Here is a 24836-nt window from a genome sequence, read left to right on the forward strand (position 1 = left end):
ACGATGACGATAGTGGCAATCATTTATTAAGCATTGCCCTGGCCTAAGACACCACATGGGTCATTTCTTCCAGGCTCCAACTTGCTTCTGCTTTGCCATATGGTAACACGCCGTATTATGGAAGCACCATCATTACCGCCATTTGCAGGGGAAGCCTAAAGAGGTGAAGTATCTCGCTCAATCTCATGCAAGAAAGCCAGGATTCGAGCCTGCGAGCTCTTCCACTTCAGCCACCCTCGCCCAGCATTGTCCCAGAATAGTGTCGTCACCACAGGGTGGAGGGACGGGTCTCAGAACTCTAACATCCCCATGTCCGCCCCTCGACCACAGCCGCCTTTCCTGCCAGTCTTCAGACACCTGGTTTTCTTCCCAGAGACCTGCAGAACAGTGATGCCAGCCCCTTGCCCCTTGCATCAGTCCCTCCTGGCAGCTCCTCCCTCCCATGCAGCCCAGAACCCACACTGGTTCATAAGAACACACTGGTCTCAGCTGGGCACTCAGTTATCCCACATCTCTTCCTTGTCCTTAAACCTACAGAGATTGCGCCCTGCTCACCCCTCCTCCTCCCACCCATGTGGCTGGGAGCTAATGGTAAGAATCTCGCCACTGTGTAGCACTGCATGTGGGCCCCCATCTCCACTGCACCCTAGGTCCCTCCATCAGGGCTTTCTGCCTCTGTTTTCAGCTTCCTCTTTCATTCCTCCCAGTGCTCTTGTGACCTCATCCTTCCACCTACAAATTTAGCAACATTCATGGCGACGCCTTCCTGCCAGTCTCACCAGCCACTGAAGACCAACCTTCCCTCCTTGCTCTTTCCTGTTGCCCATGGTCCTCTGTCTCCTCCACTCTGTTCTCCCCACCACCAACAGCTAAAGCACTCCTACCATAAACCAACAAACTAACCACCCTTAACATGATGACCTCCTCCCTCTCACTCAGTCCAGTCATCAGTGACCTTCCCATAGGCAGATCTCAGACACCCACTCCTCAGTCCTTGTGTGGCTGAACATCTCTGCTGTGTTCATCACCACTGAACACTCCTGCCATCTTGAAACTATCTACCCCCTTGGCCTCGGGTTTTCTTCCTTCCTCCATGACCACTCCAGCTCATTTCCACCCATGGCTCCCTCGTTCTTGACCTGTCCCTGGTTGGTGGTGGTCCCCAGGCTTCCACTGACAACCTGCCCCGTTTTCCTCTGCCATAGCTTTACCTGCCACCCCAGGTGCTAACTCAAGCTCTTCCCAAAGATTTTGGCTTAGCTCCAAACTGGCTGGATATCTCCAGTTGCCTTCGGCAAAAGAATATGTTCATGACAAGGGCCCACTCTCTTGCTCCCCAAGGTGATTTGATAGTGTGGTTTCGGATTACAGCCTGGCTTCCTGGGGTGATCCATCACAAGAATAAAGAGTACTGATAAGGCCAATGGGTGCACTTCCATGTCAGGATGGTTGTGTTTCTCTCGGCAAATGAATGGGTAGTTTCCCCAGCACCTGCAGGTGGTGAGAGTTGGTCTCAGCTCTGATAACACAGGCTCTGCCAAAGGTGTGCCCTTGGGCTTTGGGGGATGGAACGGAGTCAGTGATAGTGTGTGGTGGTGTCCATCTGTCCTTGCTCAAAGCCGATCTCCACCTGCACCTGTTCTGAACCCTAGCTCTGGATGAAGAGAGCAGTTGAGTGTTGATGAATGGACAGAGCCAGCCCCCAGCTCTTCTGGGCTCACTGTTTGTGGGGGACTTATGGGCATGCTTGAGCCATAGGGTGGTTGCACCCCGGCCCACAGGGCAGGATCCCCATCCACATTCACCTCACTAGAAATGAGGCAGCCCTTACTGTGTGAAATGTCACAGCGTGGGGGAGTGGCGGTAGGCAGCCACTGGGAAGAAGCACCCTCCTCAAGCGGGTTTGATGTTTCTTTAACTCTCAAAACTGCTGCCCATGGTTTACAAGGTCATGAACAGGAAATGACACACAGCACATGCCTCTCATGGCAGCACCTCCTGGATACTCCATCTGGACCTGAAAATGCAGAAGGAACAGGGGGAGGAAGTCTAACCGGGAAGCCGCCTTTCAGATGCCCACTCTGTCACTCACTCACTGCGTGACCTTGGGACAGTGACCAGCTCTTCCGAAGCTCAGGATGCTTATCTATTGGACATTTACTACAATCCCACCCTGACTTCTCACCAGGTTGACTCAAGGTTCTCCTGTGGTTACCCTCAGAGCTGTCATGAGTGAGCCCAGAGGATGACGGAGCCAGTAGGGGTAGTGTCTTCACAATCCTCACCCTGGCAGTCCCGATGTGGTCCCCTCTGCTGATCCCCCATCCATGACAGGCTCCTTCTCATCCAACAGGCTTTAGCCCAGGAGTCACCGCCTCAGAGTGGACTTCCCACCACTCATTCCAGTGCAGCCGCCAACTCAAGGCACTTTCTAAATGATGCCTCTGTTCTGTTTTTTGAAGAAAGTCTCAAACTTACCTTCCAGGGAAACTGACCAAACCAAGAAATGCTGACCCTAAGTCCCTCCTGGAGCCAAGATCAGTGAATTCCTACATGGATCAGATGACGTGGCCTCTTCTTTGAGCTTCTCTCCAATGCTAATCTTCTAGTTATCACCAACTAGAGGTTTTTTAATTTATGTATTACATTTCTTGCTTGTTATCTGGTGGTCTGCAAGGTATAGGTGTATCTTAGCCACTGAAGTAGAACCTGACTGGCTCATAGTAGGTCCTCAATAAATATTGACTGAATAGCTAATGAGGGGATGATTGAGTGGACATCCCCTGTCCGAGGCTCGGATACCTGGACTTGATAGACCCTGGTTCCCAGGTCTCAGTGGGTTCTGCCTCTTGTCGCCTCCTTTGCCAGCCACTTCCTCAATGATGGAGAGAGCCGAGGTTCCCCTGCTGGATGCATTTTCCGTGAATTTGGGGAACACAAGACACTGTCAAGCCCACAGTGAGCTCTGAGCCCTTTCAGGAGAGCCAACCCTTGATACAGTCCCCCAGGTACCCCTGTGAGTTTTTCTCCTATAAAAAATGAGAAATCTGTAGCTGGGTGCAATGGCTCATGTCTGTAATCCCAGCATTTTGGGAGGCTGAGGTGGGTGGATCACTTAAGGCCACGAGCTCAAGACCAGCCTACCCAACATGGCAAAACCCCATCTCTACTAAAAATACAAAAATTTACCAGATATGATGGCACATGCCTATAATCCCAGCTACTCAGGAGGCTGAGGCATAAGAATTGCTTGAACCCAGGAAGCAGAGGTTGCAGTGAGCTGAGATCGCACCACTGCAGCCACTACACTCCAGCCTAGGTGACAGAGTGAAACTTTGTCTCAGAAAAGAGAGGATCTTCCATTGTAAACATGACCAGACCTTACCCAAGAAAGAAATTCCTTTTGATGCCTTTTTAAGCAGTGTACTCAACTACCAAACAGAGCTGGGACTTCCGTCCTTCCCAAGCCACTCCTGTAGAGCAGAGACAGGCACCTGTCTCTTCATAAGCCCTTCTTTCTCTATAGTCTGATTTGATTTGACCTGTGCGATAACTCCTATCTGTGTCTGGTATCATCACTCGTGTCTCCGAACATTTCACAGCAGTGACTGATGCCCAGACCTCCGGCTAGATGGTAGCCCTGACTGTCTGTTATCTGTGCACCTGGTCAGCCTCTCTCCACTTGGACTCCAGCCTCTTGAGGGACTAAGCTTGCAACACCTCACATCAAATAGACCAACGAGCCACCTTGTTTGGCTGAAATATATGTTCATTCTACAATTTGGCCATCAGGGGAAGGTAAGAAAGAAGAGAGGCAGAAAAACAGACGAAATGAAAGGGAAAAGACACACACCCAGCAGCAGAGAAAAGACATAGGAAAAAGAAAAAAAAAACCAGTTTAAGGGAGAGGGGAAAATGAATCATATACAGAAGCAAAAGAAGATTAAGGGGAGAAATTCTCTAAGATCTGCTGTCTATAAAGGAGTGACGGACATGAGGTGAGGATTATACGGTGCTGTCCACTTGGCACAAAGGGTGCAAAGTCCTAACATCCCCCTGCCACCTGCATTTCCCACTACACCATGCTATGAATGAGTCTCCATTCCAGCTCAAACATCCCTGCAAGCTCAAAAGTAGAAAACTTGTCCTCAGATGCAACAACTGTTGTCAGAGCAATGTTACCCTGAGTTGTGAAGAAACCTAGGTCTGCATGGAAGAAACCTGGGCTGCCCCAGTCCCTGGCCAAAGGTTTGCCAAGCACCCTCAGAAGACCTGCAATTGTCAGGGGAAGTGAACTTGGTCCCCCGTCCCCCAAATCCCTGCCCGTTCTCATTGCTTCATAGTCCAGTGCAGTCCCCGACCCAGACCCAGGCCTCCCGAGAAGCCGGTGAGGTGAAGTCATTGGAGGGAGCCTCATCCCTGATGGGTGGGCACAGGGCCTGTCTGACTTGCCCACTCATATCACTCAGAAATCTGAGGAGGTGGTGCTTGAGGGGCAGTAGAATGAGGCTCCAAGAAGTCACTCTCATCTCTGTGGGCCACGCCAGAGTTCAAGACTGGATCTTCGCTCCAATGGCCGAGGGATCTCTGGAAGGTCCCCTTTGCCACCAAAAGCCTGCCCTTTTCTGCATGTTTTGAAAGGAGTTTTCCTAAACACAGCCTCCTCCATCAGGAAGTTTGAATGTATAAACAGTGACTCTTATTCAGAAAAGCAGCGACGAGCAGTTTTATGTAAAAGTTACATCTCCATTTAAGAAAGAATATATAATTCCACATTCCACTGTCCCTCGAACTTTATTCCCATTTATGTAGATCTTAATACAGTTATATAGTCGCGGGGCTAATGTCCCCTCCGGATGGTAATGAGGTCCTCTCGAACCCGTTAGCTGCTATAAAGTATGCAGAAGTTAAACGCACAGATGGAAAAAAATTTGTCTCAATTTTATACTTCTGCAAAATGGTAATTTTGTACTTAAAATGTACAAGATGGATGTTCAGAAATATAGGCTGATAGCCTAAATTATATTTGGTCATAATTTATGTAGTACAGTCCCAAAGAGATACAAAAAGGCAGAGCATAATTTATCTGCTGGAATCAGCGATAGCTTTGCTAAAACTCCCATTTATTCCATCCCCCATAGTTTTAAGCAGCCTTCGTCCTCAGGGCTCACTCTATTTAAGTTTTCCATACTGCTGTTTGATCACATATTGTACTCTATAATTTGCCTATCATCTGAAGCAAATTTAGGTCCCAGAAGTTATGATCTCTACATAGCAACCACTTTATTTGGTAAATGCAAAATATTTATAGCAATATAAAAACCAGATGAAAATAAAATTCCTATAATCATTGGAACATACACACTTTATCATTGGGGCTTGTAAGACCATTAGAGTAAGACTAGTATGTTGACTAATACAATTACCTTTGGACGCTCACTCGAATTTGCTGATGCTTGGGAACTGGAGAAACTTTTTCTCCAGCATCCCTTCCATCTTGCCAATGGTGAAAAAACAAAACAAAACAAAACATCTGGGCACGGGCTCCAGAGAGAATTGCCCCAGAGGAAATGAGTTGAAAAGCGAAAGTCAGATAAGTCATCACTGTGCCTCAGATGTGGAAAGGAATTTCCAAGTAAAAACACACTGCTTGGCAATGGCACTGCCCTGGATGGGTTCACCTCTTACCTTCCAGGGAAACTGACCAAACCAAGGAATGCTGACCCTAAGTCCCTCCTGGAGCCGAGATCAGTGAATTCCTACACGAATCGGATGACACGGCCTCTTCTTTGAGCCTCTCTCCAATGCTAGTCTTCTCACACCTCTAACTTCTTTGTGTGTGTTTGTGTGTCTGTGCTTCCAAAATTGTTACTTGGAGATGTTCAGGCTGGAACCTACAACATGACACAGTCCATCAACGCTCCTCGCAAAGCAACGAGCTCTTCAAAACAGAGTGGAGAGAGAAAACAGGGAAGGGACAGGCCCCAAACTGAAATGTGCACATGAAAACCTGAGGGAATAACGTTACTATGCATATTCACATACACTTGTTGAGTGTCTGTTCTCTGCAAGCACTGTCTAGGACAGAATGCTATTAGGACAGAATGCTGTTCAAATAAGTGTTCAGGTGACTTTCGCTTATGCATAGGACCCTGCCCTAGGTTCTTTCTAGTCCTCAGAAAAACCCTGCACAGTAGGGCTTACAGATTACCAGTATTAGAAGGAGGAAATTGGCCAAGGGTGGTGGCTCACACCTGTAATCCCAACACTTTGGGAAGCCAAGGCAGGCGGATCACCTGAGGTCAGGAGTTTGAGACCAGCCTGGCCAACATGGTGAAACCCTGTCTCTACTAAAAATACAAAAATTAACCAGGCGTGGTGGCAAGTGCCTGTAATCCCAGCTACTGGGGAGGTTGAGGCAGGAGAATAGCTTGAACCTGGGAGGCTGAGGTTGCAGTGAGCCCAGATCACACCACTGCACTCCAGTCTGGGTGACAGAGGGAGACTTCTTCTCAAAAAAAAAAAAAAAAAAAAAAAAAAAAAAACAAGGAGGAAACTGACGGAGGGAGAGGTCACCCAGTCAAGTAAGTGGTAGAGGAGAGAGTGACACCTAGGACTGACACCATTCAAGCCAGCTGTATCTGATACCAAACAAGCCCCCTGTTGTACTTTTCTGTATGCCAACACAGAACACCAAGCTTCCCGAAGTGCCTATGCAGGGATATTGCTTCTCTGTCTTCAGACCTCTCCCCGCCCACCTCAACCCCCTTCCATCCGCCCTCAAGGTTGCCTTCAGCTGAGTGAAGATGAAATAAAACCCCAGCTGCATCTCTCTGATAAAAACTTCAACTGAAGCCTCATATATTTTGTAGATACTAAAGATCTCATGGCTCTTTGAAGACGAGTGTTGTATTAATCATTGTGGTTGTTCAGATTATTTCCTCATTTTTAACATTGCTCGAGCCCTCTACCACAGAGCCACCATTTCTGTGTCCAGGGTAGTGAGGCCCTAAGAGATACCCTAGATTCCTCTTTATAGCCACTTCCTCCTTCATTGCAACTTAGCTCCAGCTCCAGCTCCCTAAGTCTAAGGGAATCTCCCCATTTTTAACTTTTTTACCCAAAACATGCTTAAGCAGAAATCAACTGAATGCATATTTGAATAGCATTCTGTTCTAATCCAAATATTATTCTACAAGGTCCATTTTAAAGTCTGTTTTTTCATATATCACACTGGAGGGAGAGAGAGAAAGAATATAGCTCAAAATAAATGTGTAAAAAAAAACGAAAGAGATCATAAGGGCAGAGGAAATAACTTGGTCTAATTTATCTCCTGATTCTATAATTATTTCAAAACCAAATACAGGTTCCTAAAGTATCAGTGTGGAAAGGAGCCCTAATGCACCAGAACTGCTCATTCCACAACTGGGGAAACTGAGGCTCATAAGAGAAGTCTTACATACACCAGTAAGGAGAACAGCTAGGTCTCTATTTGGGTCTTGCTCGGTAGCATGTGAACAATGTGTCTGTTCTCAAAAGGCAGTAACTATTGCAATCAGTTGGGAACTCAAGAATATCTGACATATGGGACCATCCATGACTTGTCTCCAGTCCTCTTATAGCCTGTGGGCAGGGAGATGGGTTTCATTTGCCTATTGTCTGTTCATCAGCACTCCTCCCCATGCAAGGGTAGAGGAAGCAAGAGGGTATGTTGACTTTTATCAAGAGCCTGCAGGCTGGGCATTTAGTTTGAGCTTTCTCCCTCTACCTTCAGGCAATCCTATGCATGGCTCCAACGTGCAGGTGAGGCTCAGTCAAGGGCAGTCATTTTCCCAAGGACACACACAACCAAGCCCAATAATTGATAATACTACTGTACAGGTTACTTCAGAGAAAGGAACTATTAATGTTGCCTTGGGGAGTAGGAAACAACATTCTAGTTGAATCTTCTAGGACGGGATGGTATTTGCATGCAGAGGACAATTTGTGGGCAGAGGTGCTAAGGTCCCAGTAAATATTTAGGATGGTGTTTGCACACAGAGGACAATTTGTGCACAGAGCTCCTAAGACCCCTGTAAATATTTGCTCCATGTTCACAGTCCAAGGAGGGAGAAAACGTGCAAAGGCCCTGAAGAGAGAGGCTTTAAAAACCCACAGGAAGCTCTTTCCAAGTGTTGCAAAGGGAATGGTTGTTCATCCTTTTCTTAGGAATCGTTCAACCTAGCCCTGCCTCCCAGCCACCCTGCAGCCAGGAGCTCTGATGTGTGATATTATATAGAGTTCAGGAATGTGAAAGGCACCACATAAAATCAAATTCTCTTCTATTTTAAGTTGAGTGGTGCATCAGTTCAGCTTTAAAACCTGATTTCTTAAAAGTTTCAAAGGGAAAAAAAATGTTCCTTTGCAATTGGAATCGAGTCCACATAAATTAGCAGGCCAGCTCTACATATCCATCTTTCCGAACTTTCCTGGATTGTTCATTTTAATCAAGCGGCCCACATTCTTGACTTTTCATCCTTCACTGCCCAGAATGATGCACTGCAGCTACTGATGACACGCAAATGTTAATTTTGTTCAAGTTCAAACATCATCCAAAAAGGGCCTATTTTAAAGACTGCTTTGCAAACACCAGCTGAAAATGAGGATGAACCGAATCAAACACCGCCAAGAAATTCAGAGGAGGGAAAGCTGTGGTCTTAAGGAAACTCACAAGTTTTTTTTTCTCTAGATCCTCAACCTCTCCAAGGCCGAGAGTAGAATCCTTGATGTCTAGAGCTGGAAGGGAAATCAGATTTCACCCCAGCCCTGCCCAAGGTCATTCAGTGTGGTAGGGAAGGGACGAGATAATTCAACTCTTCCCCTGGGTAAAAGAGCCTTCCTAAAATGTGAAACCAGTGAAACCATGTATTTCAAGTCTTTCTGTCATTTAGTAGGTTTCAGGAGCAGCAGGATACATCACACACACACACACACAGGCACAGGCACACAACAGGTTTATTTTAGAACTCTGGCTCACCCCTTAACCAACTACCACTTCCTCTATCCCGTCTTCTTCAGTATAGGATGTCACTATTGCCCAGTGAGGGCACAAGAGTGACAGTTGTTCAGAGATGCTTCAACAGGAATCGTGCACTTGAATAAGGAGAAATCAGCCAAGTTCCTATTTCTTCATGGCTGAAATTGTCTGAGATTTGGCATCTGCTTTTTTGCCTTTGCACCCAATGAAGCTGCATGAGAAAAGGACATCATCTGTATGAGTCACTACCGCATCCCCCTGGAGCCTAAAACAGGGCCTTGGTGCCTCGTGAGCACCCAATGAATATTTCTGAACAAATGAAGAAATGAAATCACTCTGGTCTATTATTTACCAGGATCCTTCAAAGCAGGACAGTACTATGGAAGGTCTCAGCATAGAGGTTAGAGATCTGAGGGTCCCTAAGTCGTTGAGCGCCATCTCACAGCAACATGGCCCTAGAGAATAAATCCATCTGAAAGCTTTGGCCCCAGGGATCTCAACGGCCTTGCCTCTAGAATACCAGCCTCATGTAAACAAGCCATCGGCAGTGACAAGTACCAGTTTCCATGGCCCATCAGACTAAACTGTTCACAGTGGCGGCCCATCTTCTGAAAGAACAGAAAAGACACTGCAACGTCAAGAAAAAAATGACTGCCGCTATTCCCTGAGCGATAACAGCCGCTCTTGAAATGCAGGACATGTTTCATTTGGCTTATAATAATTGTGTACTGTCTTTTAACCCTCAAAGTGTTAAGCATTGTCATATCCTCTGGGGATGAAAAGATCTGGGGTTAACAACTTTCTCTTTTAAAAATTCATAAAGGTGCAAATAAACAGCATTGCATCCAGTGGCTATGCATTGCAAGAAGCCAAGGGAGAAAGAGGAAAAAAAAAGACCACAACAACAACATTACCCCCCACAGGATACTTGGCAATTAACTGCAGCTATGTCAGCAATTTTTTGAAAAATTTCCTAAACATGGAGAAGACTCATCCTCACCATATGAAAAACAAAGCTACTGCAGTGACTCTCCCATGCATTACAATGTGTGTGTCTTACTTCTTAACCAAGCCGCTAATCACGCAAATTATTGCAACTAATTACATTTGAAGGTCTAATTAATTCTTTCAGTACCACATCATTTAGTACGCATTCACAACACAGCACCTGTTTTGAAAATCCTTGCAGTTAATTTGTTTATAAACAAACACTATTTGCATAAAATGTTTAATGAATGGTTTAACAGTTAGTACAATACTCCAGTTTTGTCTTCGTAGATCTGAGGTCATCAAAGGCCACGATAAATTAATTTTAAACTATACAAATTAATTTAAATAGAATGTGTGAATTTCTCATTAATAAAGAAAACATTTTCAACATGTTAATTAATATCTCTGTAACAGGCTAATTGCTTCCTGCACAACAAGTACATCTTACAAGCAAACCTTAAAGATTTGGGGGGCAAAGGGGTGGGGACTATTTTAAAACTGCAAAACAAAAAGTGCAATTCAGAAAAAACACACACAGCCCGATTATACTGGAGAATTCACCACTTAGGACAGGCAAACCAAGAAAGGAAGCTGTTGCCTTATGTTACAAATACAACACATTTTAGTCATCGAGAACGGGACGGTTGAAAAACATTTCTATCACAGGTGCAGTTACGCTGCAAAGATGGTTAGATGATGTCTGCCTTCTGGTAGAAAGACAGAATTAATGAAAATATTAGTTCTGAGAGTGAAGATCTCTCCTTTGAATGTAGGGCATATTAGCTGTGTTTGTAACCCAATGGTAAATACGGATTTCATTAAACAAATCTGCATCTTCACACCAGTGTCTGAGGCTCAGCCATCATAATTCTCCCTGTGGCAAACCATGGAAAGATACTTCACGTAGAAACTAAAGAGGAACAACATTATAGCCCAACATCAAGCACAGCCCTTGCAAAAGCCGTCACTGAGATATGTTCGCCCTTAAGTTTGTTTCCGATTTGCAAGCGTTTTCACATTTGATAAGCACCTGTTGTAAATTTACATCCACGCAGGAAGTATTCTTATGCTAGGGAGCTGAGAATTGTAAAGCATGTTTATACTCTTACCCTTTTGTGGTGTTGCCCCTTAATGCACAGGCTGATAAAATGACTAGCTACACAGGACCCAGAGGGATGTGCCGCTCCACCTGGTTCCCGCCGCATCTTCCCCCGAGGAGCCACTAGTCCCTTCCTCCTGGAACAGGTTCTGTCAGCACTGATCAACAAGCACTTGGTTTTTGTTTTAAGTTTGTTAATTTGGAGAGGACATGGAGAGACAGGGAGCGAGGGAGAGAGAGAGAGAGTGTGTATGTTCAGGGTGTGGGGGTAGAACGACAGAAAGACAAAGAGAAGCACAAATACAGACTTCCCAACACTTTTCTGGGACCTGCCAATGTATTTCCAAGAAAACAATGGAAAAACAGTAGGAGTTCCATCCTGATAGCACCAGGGGAAAAGAAGAATTTGCCCAACCTCTGATTGGACCCAGATTTCCAGGGTGGTGCTGCTACTCGTCAGAAAACACTTGGCCACATGGCCCCTTGGTCCTGATATTTCTTTGGAGGTGTATATAGAATAAGACTATCCCAAGCACCCTGCTCCCAAACTACCCTGGTGAACCCAGTATGGTGTGAAAACCCCTTTGCTTTGCTCTTTTGCCAGATAAATGCCAGCCAGCATCCCTGTCTCTGGGGCCCTGGAGAGGCCTTCAACACACCTGGCCTCACTGCCCTGTGGCTTCAACAAAGAGGCCGAGCATCTCCTATAAACCTTGAGGTCCATGGATGACATAGCGGAATGATGGATTTCAGAAAAGGCAGGTGCTTCCCACTCTTTAAATTTTTGTTTATTCTTTCCAAGTTTCCCATCAACAGCCCTGCAGTAAAAATTCAGGGCTTCAGAGACAAATATTTCATGAGTACAGACTGTGATGAGGAAAAGCAAGCCATTCCCTCTCTATCAGGATCCAGAGGTAAGCTGCTGCTTTGCTCTTAAAACGCAAGAAAAAAAAAGTGATTAACGGTTGGCACAGGACTCAGGATTATACGCCATTTCCATGTTGACTTCTTTTTGGAAAAGATACTCAGGATAGCCATGTGAGGAGTTACTCCGGGTTTCGGCCCCATAGCCAGCTAGAACTGAGGTTCAAGGGGCAGAGGGTGAACTCCCCAGCAGAGACAGAACGGGGCAGGAGGGGGGCAGGAGGAGGGCAGGAGGCGGGTGGCTGTCAGACAAAATGCTTCCATCCCAGAACAAGCAGAAACAGGCGCACCACTCTGCAATATAAAAGTCAGAAAGCCTTGCAACCTAGATGCAACCCAGGGACTTCCCCCTTGCAGCCAGCAGCCAAGGCAGCTTCTAGGCACTGTGTGGCTGTATTTAAACCCAACTTGGTCCCTAACTTCTCTCCAAAGCCGGTCAAGTTGCCCCACCCTAAGCATCCAGATGACAGGCTCCTGCCTCCCCTCTTGCACAAAATCATTCCCGGATGTAGAGCCTGGCTTTTTCTCTTTACCCATTAAAAATCACCAGCGTTTTGCAAATAAAGGCGATCACCATGTGAAAAATTATCTTTTAAAATGGAGTTTAATTTGCATATAAGGAACGAGAGATTTATGACAAGCAACATCGTCCAGTACTGCATCTGCCTAGTATCAGTCGTAATTTAGATTGTTTGTGACTGATCTTAAATTCTAAAGCTTGGAGAAGATGAAGTACTCTGTTGCTGTATTATTGTCAGGAGTCTAAGACTTACCAGAGATTTATTAGTAATCTTATCACAAACATGTCTCAAGTTTTTGCTTTTAATATGTGCCAAGCTCCTCTGAGGAATTTTCCTCACTGCAATTATATTCCTCAATGCCTGCATTCTGAAGCTGAGTTGATTTCCTTCCCAAAATAAAGCGACCTATCATTACACCACAGCCGCTCTTGTACATTTTTCCTCTGCTACTTAATAATCAATGTATTCATCATTAAAATCTGAGCCCTGAAGCAATGGTTTTTAGCATATTCTAATGACTAGCGACTTGCAAATTACAATGACCTTTCATGTACATTCTGTAAGCACCTTGTTCTAATGTGTACTGTATTTATAGTTTGCCAATACAAACTAGCCAAAGATTGGATAATTACTGTAATCTATTAGCTCGATTGCTTTCCCTGCTCATTTATAGCATGTGCCACGCAGGCCATTTTCAAAAACTGGCCTATCTTTCATCTCCCGCAAGCTCAGAAAGTAAGGGATACTTCATCTTCACAATATACACACTTACAAATGTCTGAAGAACAGCCCGTCTCAGCTCAAGGAGGTTTCAAAAATAAAGAACCTTCTTTCCTATTAGTGTCATAATGCTATTTGTGACTGACAAAAAACACCGCTCCGAGAATGTAAACTTTCATTGAAGAATGTCAAGGCCAGTCCCATTTTCTGCCCATTACTCTGACCTCCAAATAGCATTTAATAAGATCTGCTTTGAAAGAAAAAGATAAAGGCACTTCCCTTAAACAAGAAACAATTTTTTTTGTTATAAGTAAATGTTTCAAGTGAAATATTAAACTTTTTCTTTTCTTCTTTTTCTTTTTTTTTTTTTTTTTTAAGCACACTGCTGTTACGACTCCAGAACCGATAAGGAAGCTATGTGTGGAAGTATGAGCTCAGGTCGCCTTCTGACCCTCTGTGACGGTCTATTTCAGGCAGTTATGGATAGATAACATTACAGACACTGGTAATTAAAACAACACTAATTTTGTCTCTGTGGTCACGCTTTGTTGTTAGAAGCCATCTATCATGGCCTTCACGCATCACGCAATGAGAAGACATTTGTCTACGTACATTGTGCTTGGTCAACGGTTTTACGGATTTCCCCGCGTACCTGGACACCCAGGCACTTTTAAAGACGTACTGCCTTCATTTCTACTCTATTACTCTGATTAATAAAACATTTTGCATGCTTCATCAAAACACCCTGCAAGCTTTTCACCACATATATTCATGGGGGGGGAAGCAATGTTAATTTCTTTCCCTTTTAGAAAGAAACTAACAACAACAACAACAAAAGAAATTCTCTTTTGGATTGGAAGAGAGAAAGAAAAATTCAAATATGGAAATATTTGTCTTCCCTGTAAAACAGAGTCCAGCCTAATGAAAAGCATAATATTAAAACACACACACAATGCCAAGCATCTCCTTTAAGGCTACACGTATTTTTGACTATATGTATCGTTAGTTCTTTTCTGTGCATTCATTTGCTTGATTTATGGACACTCAATTTCACTTCACCTTTTATTACAAGATCTACAGTTACATTAAGAGTAATAGCAAGTCAAATGTTTTTATATTTGGGCAATTAAAAAAAAAGAAAAGATCTATTCCTTGGGCCCTTATAAGAAATTAGGGATAGCTGAAATGCAAGATGACTAGTTTAGTTCTGTTGTAATCAACTAAGAAGAAACTGTAATGGTGCATTTCAAGGGATCTTTAACAAGTGACACAAACAAGAGAAGAAGCAGACAGGACCATTTAACTTCAAACTCCACCGAAGAGAGCTGAATTGTAAGCTTCCTACAGCAAGCCCGGCTGGCGGCTATGTGGCAGTCTTCATTTCTCAGCGGAAAAGCCACTCCCTTGAGACTCTCCAGGCACCCCCCAACCGCATTTTTTATCAAGTGTCTAAAAGGTAGGAGCTGTTAGAATTCTTTTCTCTATTCACAGATGATCACAGCCCTTTTTTCCCCTTTAGCTTGCAGACGCACATGTAGTTTCAAATATTAGCTAGAACTCCAGCCCTCACCAGCCCCTAATTGCTCTCTCAGGGAAGGTATCATAAACTCAGGTATGGCTGACACAGATGTAGCTTCAACTTTATGCAGGCAGGAATGCTACATCAAAGCTATTTGCAAAGTGACATAGCTAGTTGTTTAAAAGAACATTTTTATTATATTCCTTGGAATTTGCATTCTTCTAGAAACCAAGTGTATTTTTTAACACGGCCTCAGAAATGTTGGGGCAATTGACCATTCATGATGTCTGCAAAGGAAAAGCATCTAAATATTTTTCAAGCGACTTTAATAAATTTGAGTGCGTCTGTCACTACATGTAACCTGATTATTTAAATAAGTTAATATTATCACTTCTCTTTTGCCAGCTGCTGTAAGCAGTCGGCTGCTGTCATTAAGCAAAAAGGCCAAGACAATGTGAGTTTATCTGGTCCTACCTGCATTTCTACTCATCGTTGGACTGAAACAAATGGGAAAGAAAAACTTACTGACTTTTGGCGAACTACAAAGGTTAACTCTATTCATCATGGAGAAACTGATACTAAGTGCTTTCTGTCTGTCCATATATTCTAAAGATTTAGAAGGAACCTGGTAGTGTTCCTGGGAGACAGAAGACAGAGTGTTCATCTTTGCCATATGCAGAGTGTCTCTTGCAGTTTTCTCTTTACCTCACTGGCACTGCTGAAATCCTTCTTAGACTACAGAGTTTTGGAAACAAGTTTATTTTTCAATGAGTTAAAAAGCCAAAGCTTTTCTTTCTTAGGATCTTTAACTCTTTTAAGGTAAGTGGCAGGGTTTGAAGCTGCTGTTAACCGTTTGAGGAGAAGGAGCTCAATAGCTTGCAGTGATAGGAAGAGAATTCTCATCACCCAGGTTGCAATAAAACGTGCCTCTCCCGATACCAGTAAAGCCCACTCCGGAGATTTCCAGAGACTGTTGGAAGGCAGTGGAAGGTAAACCCAGAGGAAACACAAGATAAAGGCAACCAGGTGGCCTGGTTCTTAAATCTTAAAGCAACAGTTCCAAAGTTGAGAGCCCGCATTGCACTCTATTGCACAGCCTGACAGGAGAAGGGACGAGGAAGTTCAGAACCTGGCAATTGGAGTGTTTCCCAGCGCCGGGTCCCACCGCGCACCGCACCGAACAAGAAATCTTTTTCACTTTCTATAACTCATTTGCATGAATTTACTTTTTTGCCTTAAGAGGTTGTTGTAATGTGTGTTAAAACACACAGTGCAATTTTATCTCCATAATATCACAAAAGAAATATTATGTTAGTATAAAGTTAAAAAAAAATGCTGCGAGATCCTGCAGCACGGCGAGCGGCAAAGCGTTGCTCAAAAGCGCCACCCAAAGGCGGGAGGAGTGTAACGGCATTCAGGGAGGATCGTTTTTGTTAATTTCAGCAATCCGAATGTAAAAAATGACAGCGCCACGCAAGTTGACGGAGGCTTTTGATTGAATTGACTGATTGCCTCAGCTGCACCTGCGGAAAATTGATGACAATGCTGTCTAAACCATTCATTAGGATTTGAAACTTCACGCAGATGAATGCTGGATTCATAAATTTGCTAGACATGTGTTGTAGATAATATGACAAAGCACTGTTTTCAAATGAACATTTCTTTGACCTAATTTTATCAAAATCATGCAAAGGAATGAAAGAACATTTGTACCCGAACTCTTTGGAACAGCTGCAACTGAGGTCTCTCTCTCCATCTCTCCCTCTCTCTTTCTCTCTCTCTCTCTTTACCTTTTTTGTCTTTCAAATAAATTTAAATGAACTATATTGTTTGAAATATATATTCTAGTTTATTTAAATTATTTTTAGAATGGCAAAACATTTATTTTTACTTATTATGAACAATGTTACTCTCCGCCAGATGAAGGAAAATTATTTTGAGGGTTTTTTTCAAGCTCCAAATTTGCTAAATTGAACACAAGTGGTAAGTAGATTTTTCAAATAATATTAATAACGCGATCTCCACAGACATGTTGGGGGGAACCGTTTCAGTACCAACTGGACATGCATTCTGTGAGAAGTGGACTTCTTGCAGGCTTTGAAGGGAAAAGAAATTCCTGTAAAATATTGACGCTTTTGGTCAAAAATGGCGAAACCAGAAAAAAATGACATCTGTGTATATTGTATATAAGATTTCTGACTTGTTCTCGATTTTAATGTATCAAAACACTATCAATATTTAATGGAGCTTTCTCTGTGTGTCCAAGAAAGAAAAACAAGATGTCTGAGAAGGGGAAGGGAGCACCGTTTTCATACCTGGCTTGGCTTAGCTGCACGAGAGAAGAAAAGGCCGTGGCTGAATCCATCTCCAGGAGCAGCTGTCCCCCTGCACCGTTTGAATTGCGAGGAAAGAGTTACAGTTTTAGAAAAGAATACCTGGTATTTAAGAATTCGAATTTCTCGCTGCAGAACTAGATCTCACTTCTACAACAAGGACCCTCTGCTTAGTACTTGGACTCCCCCCCAAAAAAACAAAATGAATATTTATTAACGTTAGAAGAACCTGGCGCAGGTCGGTCCGTGCATCCGAATCTGCCAAAACGCTTCCAAATCTCTTCCCTGGCATTTAAAAGAAATCTATTTTTATACATTCTCATGAATTTGGGTTTTACTACCAGTAAGGTAATTTCTGATTAGGCATCTTGGGTTTTTCTCTCTCTTTTTTTTTTCTTTTTTCCTAAAGAATCCCTGCAAATACACCCGAGGTGCTTGAGTTAACCCCACACCTGGATGGAGAGAAACTACAGGTGTGAACGGCAAGGCTAATAGACTTGAGTTTTGCCACGCATTTATTCTTCTTTTTTTTTTTTTTTACCATTCTAGCAGTTACTTTAAACTGGAAAACATTATTCCAACAATCCAAACAAGGCTCTTTAAGGCTGCTATGCCCAAGCTGCTACAGATACAAAATTATCAAGTAGACATGTGAAACCCCCTAAATGCGGAACAATCTGGGTTGGCTTCTAATTGCTATGTTTCAATTTCTAATGGGGAAAATGTGTAAAACAAATAACTGGGTATTGGGAGCTCTGAGCACTAAAAGCAGAACATTCTTGTATTTCAGTAAATCATATAACTCTACAGATGGGTTTGGAAAGCCTGAAGCTCCAGCCACCTTTTAGACTATTTGGATCCAGCGTTTGCTTCGAATTCCGGGCAATACGCTTAAAACAAATTACCTGTTTGTCTTGGATGGCCTTTGCAATGAGAACCCTAGGCCTGCAAGACCTCTGAGATTCATTGACCTCACCAGCCCACCCACAAAGAAAGATACGTGGATACTCCCTGTATTGCCCAGTCCTGGCTACAATGGCAGGGAGGAGCAGGCAAACAGCCTCCCCGTCAAAGATGTTACAATCTGGTCAATGTACACTGGGGTAGGACACGTGGGGAGTCAAATATACATCAATTTCTGGCAACACACGGCAAGAAAACACAGATGCCCAAAAGGACATCAACTCAAGGTTAATTCTTAGCTCTCACAGAACGGGGGAACTTGGGCATAGTTAAGCAGCAAAAGCTTTGGGGGAGGAGGTAGCAGAGAATGTGTAGGGCAGAGATGTGTATATATGTGAGCCTCCAAGGATGCACTAACTGTGCCTGTTCTTTCTCCCTTGGTTACTACCCTTCCTGCTCTTCTGGTAGGGTTCAGCCAGGCACAGACAAGAGTGGGCAAAGGAGCACCCAGCCTTGCTGTGCTCACCCACGCATATATCCTGCCTGGCCTGGGCAGTCACCTGAGTTTGTAGCCCTTGGAGATGCACTTGTCACCCTCTATTCTGACACCTTTATAGGAACAAGCCTTTAGTCTCAACAATGAGAAAAAAAATAAAATGCCCTTCCTCCAAGAGCTTCAACTAAGAATCATTTCATTCATCCTAGGCATTCTGGTAATGTCCTTTTTCCAGTTCCTTGTTCTAAGAAATGCTGCATTGTAGGCATATTTAAGGAATCTACCCTTCTCCCACCCTAACCTCCTAAGCCAGAGGGGCTTTTTGTTCCCTTATCCTGTGTATCCCCTCAAAACTCACTCAAAATCTTCTTGTGTGGTCAGAATGGGGATCCTTTTGAGCTTGTTATGAGACAGGCTCTGTCCTCACTGGGGTCTCAAATGCTAAATTAATTTTTATGTCTCTTTAGACACAATGAACAAAAACCAGAGCTTTTGAATACAGATTTCCAGTAAAACCAAACCCAGCTTGGGTCAGATGCACCTTTCCAGCAACCACCATCTCAGCAACAACCTGCCAGCTGTCAACTGGAAGTTCAGCTTCTGGGAACTTCAGCCCCCTTCTCAGAGGAGCAAGGTCCTAGCACCAACAGCACCTGCAGTGGAGCCCAAGTATGGCTGCTTCATGGAGAAGGCAGGTAAAGAGGGGTGTGCACACTGTCTCAGGGTGGCAACTCTTATTGATAACGAAGGCATTGTGGCCTTCTGACGGGTACTGCTGCCCACTGACAGGTACGTGACAGTACCTCCAGCTCAGGTCAGGGTTAGGTCTCAGAGACCCTTAAGAAAATGGTATTCCAGGCCAGGCGTGGTGGCTCACGCCTGTAATCCCAGCACTTTGGGAGGCTGAGGGGGCAGATTACTTGAGGTCAGGAGTTAGAGACCAGCCTGGCCAACATGGCAAAACCCCGTCTCTACTAAAAATACAAAAATTAGCCGGGCATGGTGGTGGGCGCCTGTAGTCCCAGCTACTCAGGTGGCTGAGGCGGGAGAATCACTTGAACCCAGGAGGTGGAGGTTGCAGTGAGCCAAGATCATGCCACTGTACTCCAGCCTGGGTGACAGAGTTAGATTCCATCTCAAAAAACAAAAAGTGGTGTTCCAATCAAACAATAGATAATTAACACTGTGTTCCAGGGTCAGATCTGGCAGTTGTGTTGGACAGACAACACAGGTAGAGGAGAGAGAAAAGAAAGGAAGAGGTTCAGGCCAGGCATGGTGCCTCATGCCTGTAATCCCAGCGCTTTGGGAGGCCGAGGTGGGAGGATGGCTTGAGGCCAAGAGTTCAAGACCAGCCTGGGCAATATAGTGAGAACCTGTCTCTCCAAAAAATGAAAATAGCACGGCGTGGTGATGCACGTCTGTAGTCCCAGCTACTTGGGAGGCTGAGGCAGGAGGATTGCTTGAGCCCAGGAGGTTGAGGCTGCAGGGAGATTTGATTGTGTGCCACTGTACTCCAACCTGGATGACAGAGGGAGACCCTGTAGAAAGAAAGAAAAAAGGAAAGGGAGCGGGAGAGAGGAGAGAAAGAGAGAGAGAGGGAGGAAAGAAAAGGAAAGGAAAGGAAAGGAAGGGAAGGGAAGGGAAGGGAGAAAGAAGAAAGAAGAAGAGAAAGAGAGAAAGAGAAAGAGAGGAAAGAAGGAAGGAAGAAAAGAAGGAAGGAGGGAGGGAGGGATGGAGGGAGGGACGGAAGGGAGAGAGGGAGGGAAGGAAGGAAGGAAGGGGGGAGGGAGGGAGGGCACGGTGGCTCACACCTGTAATCCCAGCATTTTGGGAGGCCGAGGCAGGCAGATCACGAGGTCAAGAGATCAAGACCATCCTAGCCAACATGGTGAAACCCCGTCGCTACTAAAAATACAAAAAATTAGCTGGGCATGGTGGTGGGTGCCTGTAGTCCCAGCTACTTGGGAGGTTGAATCGCTTGAGCCCAGGAGGTTGAGGCTGCAGGAGACTCGTTTGAACCCAGGAGGCGGAGGTTACAGTGAGCCGCGATCATGCCACTGCACTCCAGACTGGCGACAGAGCGAGGCTCTGTCTCAAAGAGAGACAGAGAGAGAAGAAATGAAAAGAAAAAAAAAAAGAAAAGGAAAGAAAGAGGTTCAACAGGCAGAGTATCCTTAAAAAACTCACCCAGCCCCTCCTTCATTTAGATAAGAAAATGGCTGAGAAGTGGCAGAGTCAAAGTTCCGATGCAGGCCCATGGGCCCTCTTGGTTCACCTCCTCCAGCCCAGGCTTCTAAAACTACTTCCCATACCTGCTGTATTGCAGCAACCATGCTAATTTAGCAACTTCCCATCCCAGATGCATAAAGAAGATGGAACCAATTCACCATGAATCTATCCACCCAGGCATTTAGACACAAAGGTGAAAATAACAACAGGCCCTGTCCTCGAGAAACTCCTCGTCCAACAGGGGAAGGGGGAGAGTGCCAGTAAACAGGGCCGTTGAGCTCTGTCCCAGCAGTGGGGACAGGCTTGCATAGAACCACCCTCACTCCTGCAGCAACTTCCCTCATGCCAGACAAGAATAGAGTGAAAGGAGACCCCCACCTTAGCTTTCTTGGCCTGGGGCTCCATCCTGCTGTGCCTAGCAAGAACACAACACACAGACACACACCAATAGATACATGTATCTTACCACTACTGGGGGAGAAAGAAAAGAAAAAATAAATCACTGGGAACCGCAGCAGGGTGAGAACCCAGACCTCAGCAAGTCCCAATTTCAGAGGTGACAGCATCTTTAAATGCCGCAGGAGTGCGCTCCTAGCTGAGGCAGGTGTGTGGATTCAACAGTTGACCCCAGCTGTCGCAGAGCGCGAGGAAGCTGCGCAGTAAACCCCTTACATATCAACCTCTGAGGACCGGTTTTTCTGCACCTGGTGGTCCTTCTAGACGTCTAGGAGGATCGTGTTCTCAGGAGAGGGTTCTTCAGCATCTGTGCTGAAGAACACTGCCCCAGCGGGTCACATGCAAGATTCCACCTTCGAGCAACATAGCTGACACTCTGCAGCCCAGTTGTCACTTGTAACAAACCCCAGTGGGTCACATAGTGAGGGGAGGCAAGGCTGCGTAAGGCAGTGGCTGAACTATCCCAGAAAACAAGGATCACAGGCCCCCAGTGACACCAATGTTGCAGAAACACCTGCAGTGGCAAGTCAGATGTCCTCCAGGACCAGGCAGATAACAAGGAGTAGGGGTCTGCAGAGGCCTCGGGAGGGTCTGCACCATCCAAAGAAATCAATTGTTCTGCACAGTGGTAAGGATCCAGTGTTCCCAGCACTTCCAAACATTTGAATGAAGCCAGAATTCCAGATAATTATGTGAAATCCCCAATTACTAAATATTGGCAACAAATTCATATTTCTTTCAAATAATCTGTGAACCAAGCAAAATACATCTGTGGGTAGATTGGGATCCCAGATATGCACTGTGTGACCGACCCTAGTAAAAGCCCTCCCTCCAAGGACCCTGGACACTCACACAAACCATTTAATTCCTCTCCTTCCTCCCAAGCCAAGCATCACAGCATTCAACAGGTAGGACTAGCAAGCTCAGGCCAAGGTCACAGTGTCCTGAGCAGGGTGGGCTAGGGGACCTTTTGCACGATGTTTTCCTTTGGGCTGTGGGACCACGTCATCTGGCCAGAGAGCAAAGGCTTTCCTAGTAGAAGTTACCCTCTGAGCTTGTGACATCGAGGGCCCTGCCTCTGGGCAGATCCCCCAAGCATCCGTGCAGGGCTGCCTGAGAAGCTGGACCAGCTCTGACACAGCCAGTGGGATGTTCCACAGCCTCCCAGGGCAGAAGGGCTTGTGGGAGATTCGCTTAAACGTGACCGATTTCCTCTCGCTGGTTATCTGTGGAAGGTGGAAGAATTACCCCCTGGTCATTAGGGAATCACCCTTTCACAGCAGCAGAGCGTGTGTGACCTGGATGATTTAAATTTTAGTTTTTGTCAGCATGTGCTTTCATCAGATTGTTCTTTTTATATATTTCATACATATTATATATTTATAAATAGATACTAAATAGACATAGATATAGATATATTTAGGTATGTGCATTTATTTTTATATTGTATTTTTTTATCTCATAGTTCCTTGCTAATGCATATAGACTGAGTCCAATACGATAGTTAAAATGTCACATTCCTCCAAATGGATTTCCAGATATTGAAATGTGATCACTGAGGCTCAGTGGGAATCCCTTTGCTCTCAAACTCCCCGATGCAATGCCTTCTGATTTCAACAGAAAAGCAAGAGGCTCCAGGCACCCCATTCAGGGACTGCCACCAAAGTACCCGCAAATCCTTCATGAAAGGGGAGACATTGACACATTCTTTTTTTATTCTCTGGTAGGTATCTGTTTGCGTGCAAATCCGTGAGTGCTTGCATCTCGTGTATTTGAAAATCCTGTTTAAGAATGCAGAGGTCCATATAGTGTCATTAAAACAAATGAGTATAACCCTTTGGTCATCTAGGTGAAAGCATTTTGTTGGGTTTTTTTTTTTTCAAATTGCTATTGCTATATATAAATGTAACGTATAGCAATAACCGTAGAAAGATACTGTGCCCTTGTGTATGGATAATTAAAATAGGAACATCTCTGGACTAAATTAAAATGTGTAAAAACCAAATCCTTATAGCATCCATGAAATTACAGAAGCTACAAGTGAATCACTAGCCCAGGGACGAAGCATTTCTCTCATTACTTCATGAACCTCTTCCATGATCACAGTTTTACATTTTCACAAATCTACATGGTTCTTTTTATGTCACTAAATATCTCAGCTCACTTTTACTGCCCTCCTTATAGACATGCGAGTTGGTAACAGCACGCAAACAGTCTCCAATCATTTAAGAGAAACCAACACTTTCAGTGCTTTTGATGACACTTATTACTACAAATTATGAACTAAAAAACTGAGCAGGATATAAGGAGATAAATTACATCTTTAGAACATAAAGGGGGAAAAATGCATATTTTTCAGTACCAGAAAATCAAAACCCATGGGTCCTAATCTATGAATTAAGAAGACCTGAATACCTGAGAACGTGTACACAGATTTTTGCCCTAACCCATGACCTGCTTAACTGTGTAACTCCCCTCAACAGAAAGATCCTGATTTGCCCTTTTCTCCTCTGTACTTTGAACATAAGAGGTGTTATTACCCATAACTTTTTATTTAAAGGAATTGTGCAGCTGGGAAAATGAATGAATTTAATTATCAATGCAGTGTGAAAAAAATCATTAGAGCAAGGGCCTGGAACGCCACATATTAAAAATAAACAAAGGCTATTAAAAAACAGTTCCAAAAAGGAACGTCAGTTTTTCTTCAATTCTTAAAATGTAAATACCAAAAAGAAAACCATATGTAAACATCTATAGTTACAGAAGAAATTACTCTTTAAGAAAATGTTAAATGACTGACTGGATCATTTAACTTTAAATCTATACTTTATGTGGCAGTATAGGAAGGTCATTTGATTGCCATGCATAGAAAAATGAGAATTCTAATGTGTTCTCAAAGTTTCACCTTCATAAGACAAAATTTTCATTATGAAATTGTATTTAATGGTGAGCACATAGAACTTCTTCCTCAATTGCATGGGATGACACTTCTGTCAGAGGCGTGTGAACCAGAGCAACTCCATCTTGAATGGGGGCTGGGTAAAATGATGCTGAGACCCACTGGGCTGCATTCCCAGACTGTTAAGGCATTCTAAGTCACAGGATGAGATAGGAGGCTGACACAAGACATGGGTCGTAAAGACCTTGCTGATAAAAACAGATTGTAGTAAAGAAGACTGCTAAAACCCACCAAAACCAAGATGGCCATGACAGTGACCTCTGGTCATCCTGACTGCTACTCTCCCACCAGCGCCATGACAGTTTACAAATGCCGTGGTAATGTCAGGAAGTTACCCTCTATGGTCTAAAAAGGGAATATATGAATAATCCACACGTTGTTTAGCATATCATCAAGAAATAACCATAAAAATGGGCAACCAGCAGTGCTTGGGGATGCTCTGTCTATGGAGTAGCAATTCTTTTATTCCTTTACTTTCTTAATAAACTTGCTTTCACTTTACTCGACGGACTGGCCCCGAATTCTTTCTTGCGCGAGATCCAAGAACCCTCTCTTGGAGTCTGGATGGGGACCCCTTTTCTGTAACATCTTTCCGGCGACCGCAGAAGGGACTACAGTGAGGAAATCCCCAACCCAAAGGTTAACTTTGGGTAAGTGTTAGGATCCTGTAA

General features: G+C 44.3%; 2 long non-coding RNA genes across 8 annotated transcripts in view; one reads left to right on the plus strand and one right to left on the minus strand.

Moving 5' to 3' along the window:
* The window catches only part of LINC01837 (long intergenic non-protein coding RNA 1837), a 234720-nt gene that overhangs the window by 188465 nt on the left and 21419 nt on the right, over positions 1-24836 (minus strand). The gene's annotated exons all lie outside the window — the stretch shown is intronic.
* On the plus strand, positions 18-23055 carry LINC01533 (long intergenic non-protein coding RNA 1533). 3 transcript variants are annotated; one of them, NR_110675.1, is made up of 5 exons: positions 18-163; positions 11146-11251; positions 11710-11863; positions 18989-19212; positions 22934-23055. It is a non-coding gene; the product is annotated as a long intergenic non-protein coding RNA 1533 (long non-coding RNA). The 3 variants fall into 3 exon arrangements; NR_110673.1 differs by lacking the exons at positions 11146-11251; positions 18989-19212; positions 22934-23055 and adding an exon at positions 13649-14011 and having other exon boundaries at positions 11710-12019; NR_110674.1 differs by lacking the exons at positions 11146-11251; positions 18989-19212; positions 22934-23055 and adding an exon at positions 13649-14011.

Source organism: Homo sapiens, chromosome 19, assembly GCF_000001405.40.
Source record: "Homo sapiens chromosome 19, GRCh38.p14 Primary Assembly".
Taxonomy (NCBI): Eukaryota; Metazoa; Chordata; class Mammalia; order Primates; family Hominidae; genus Homo; species Homo sapiens.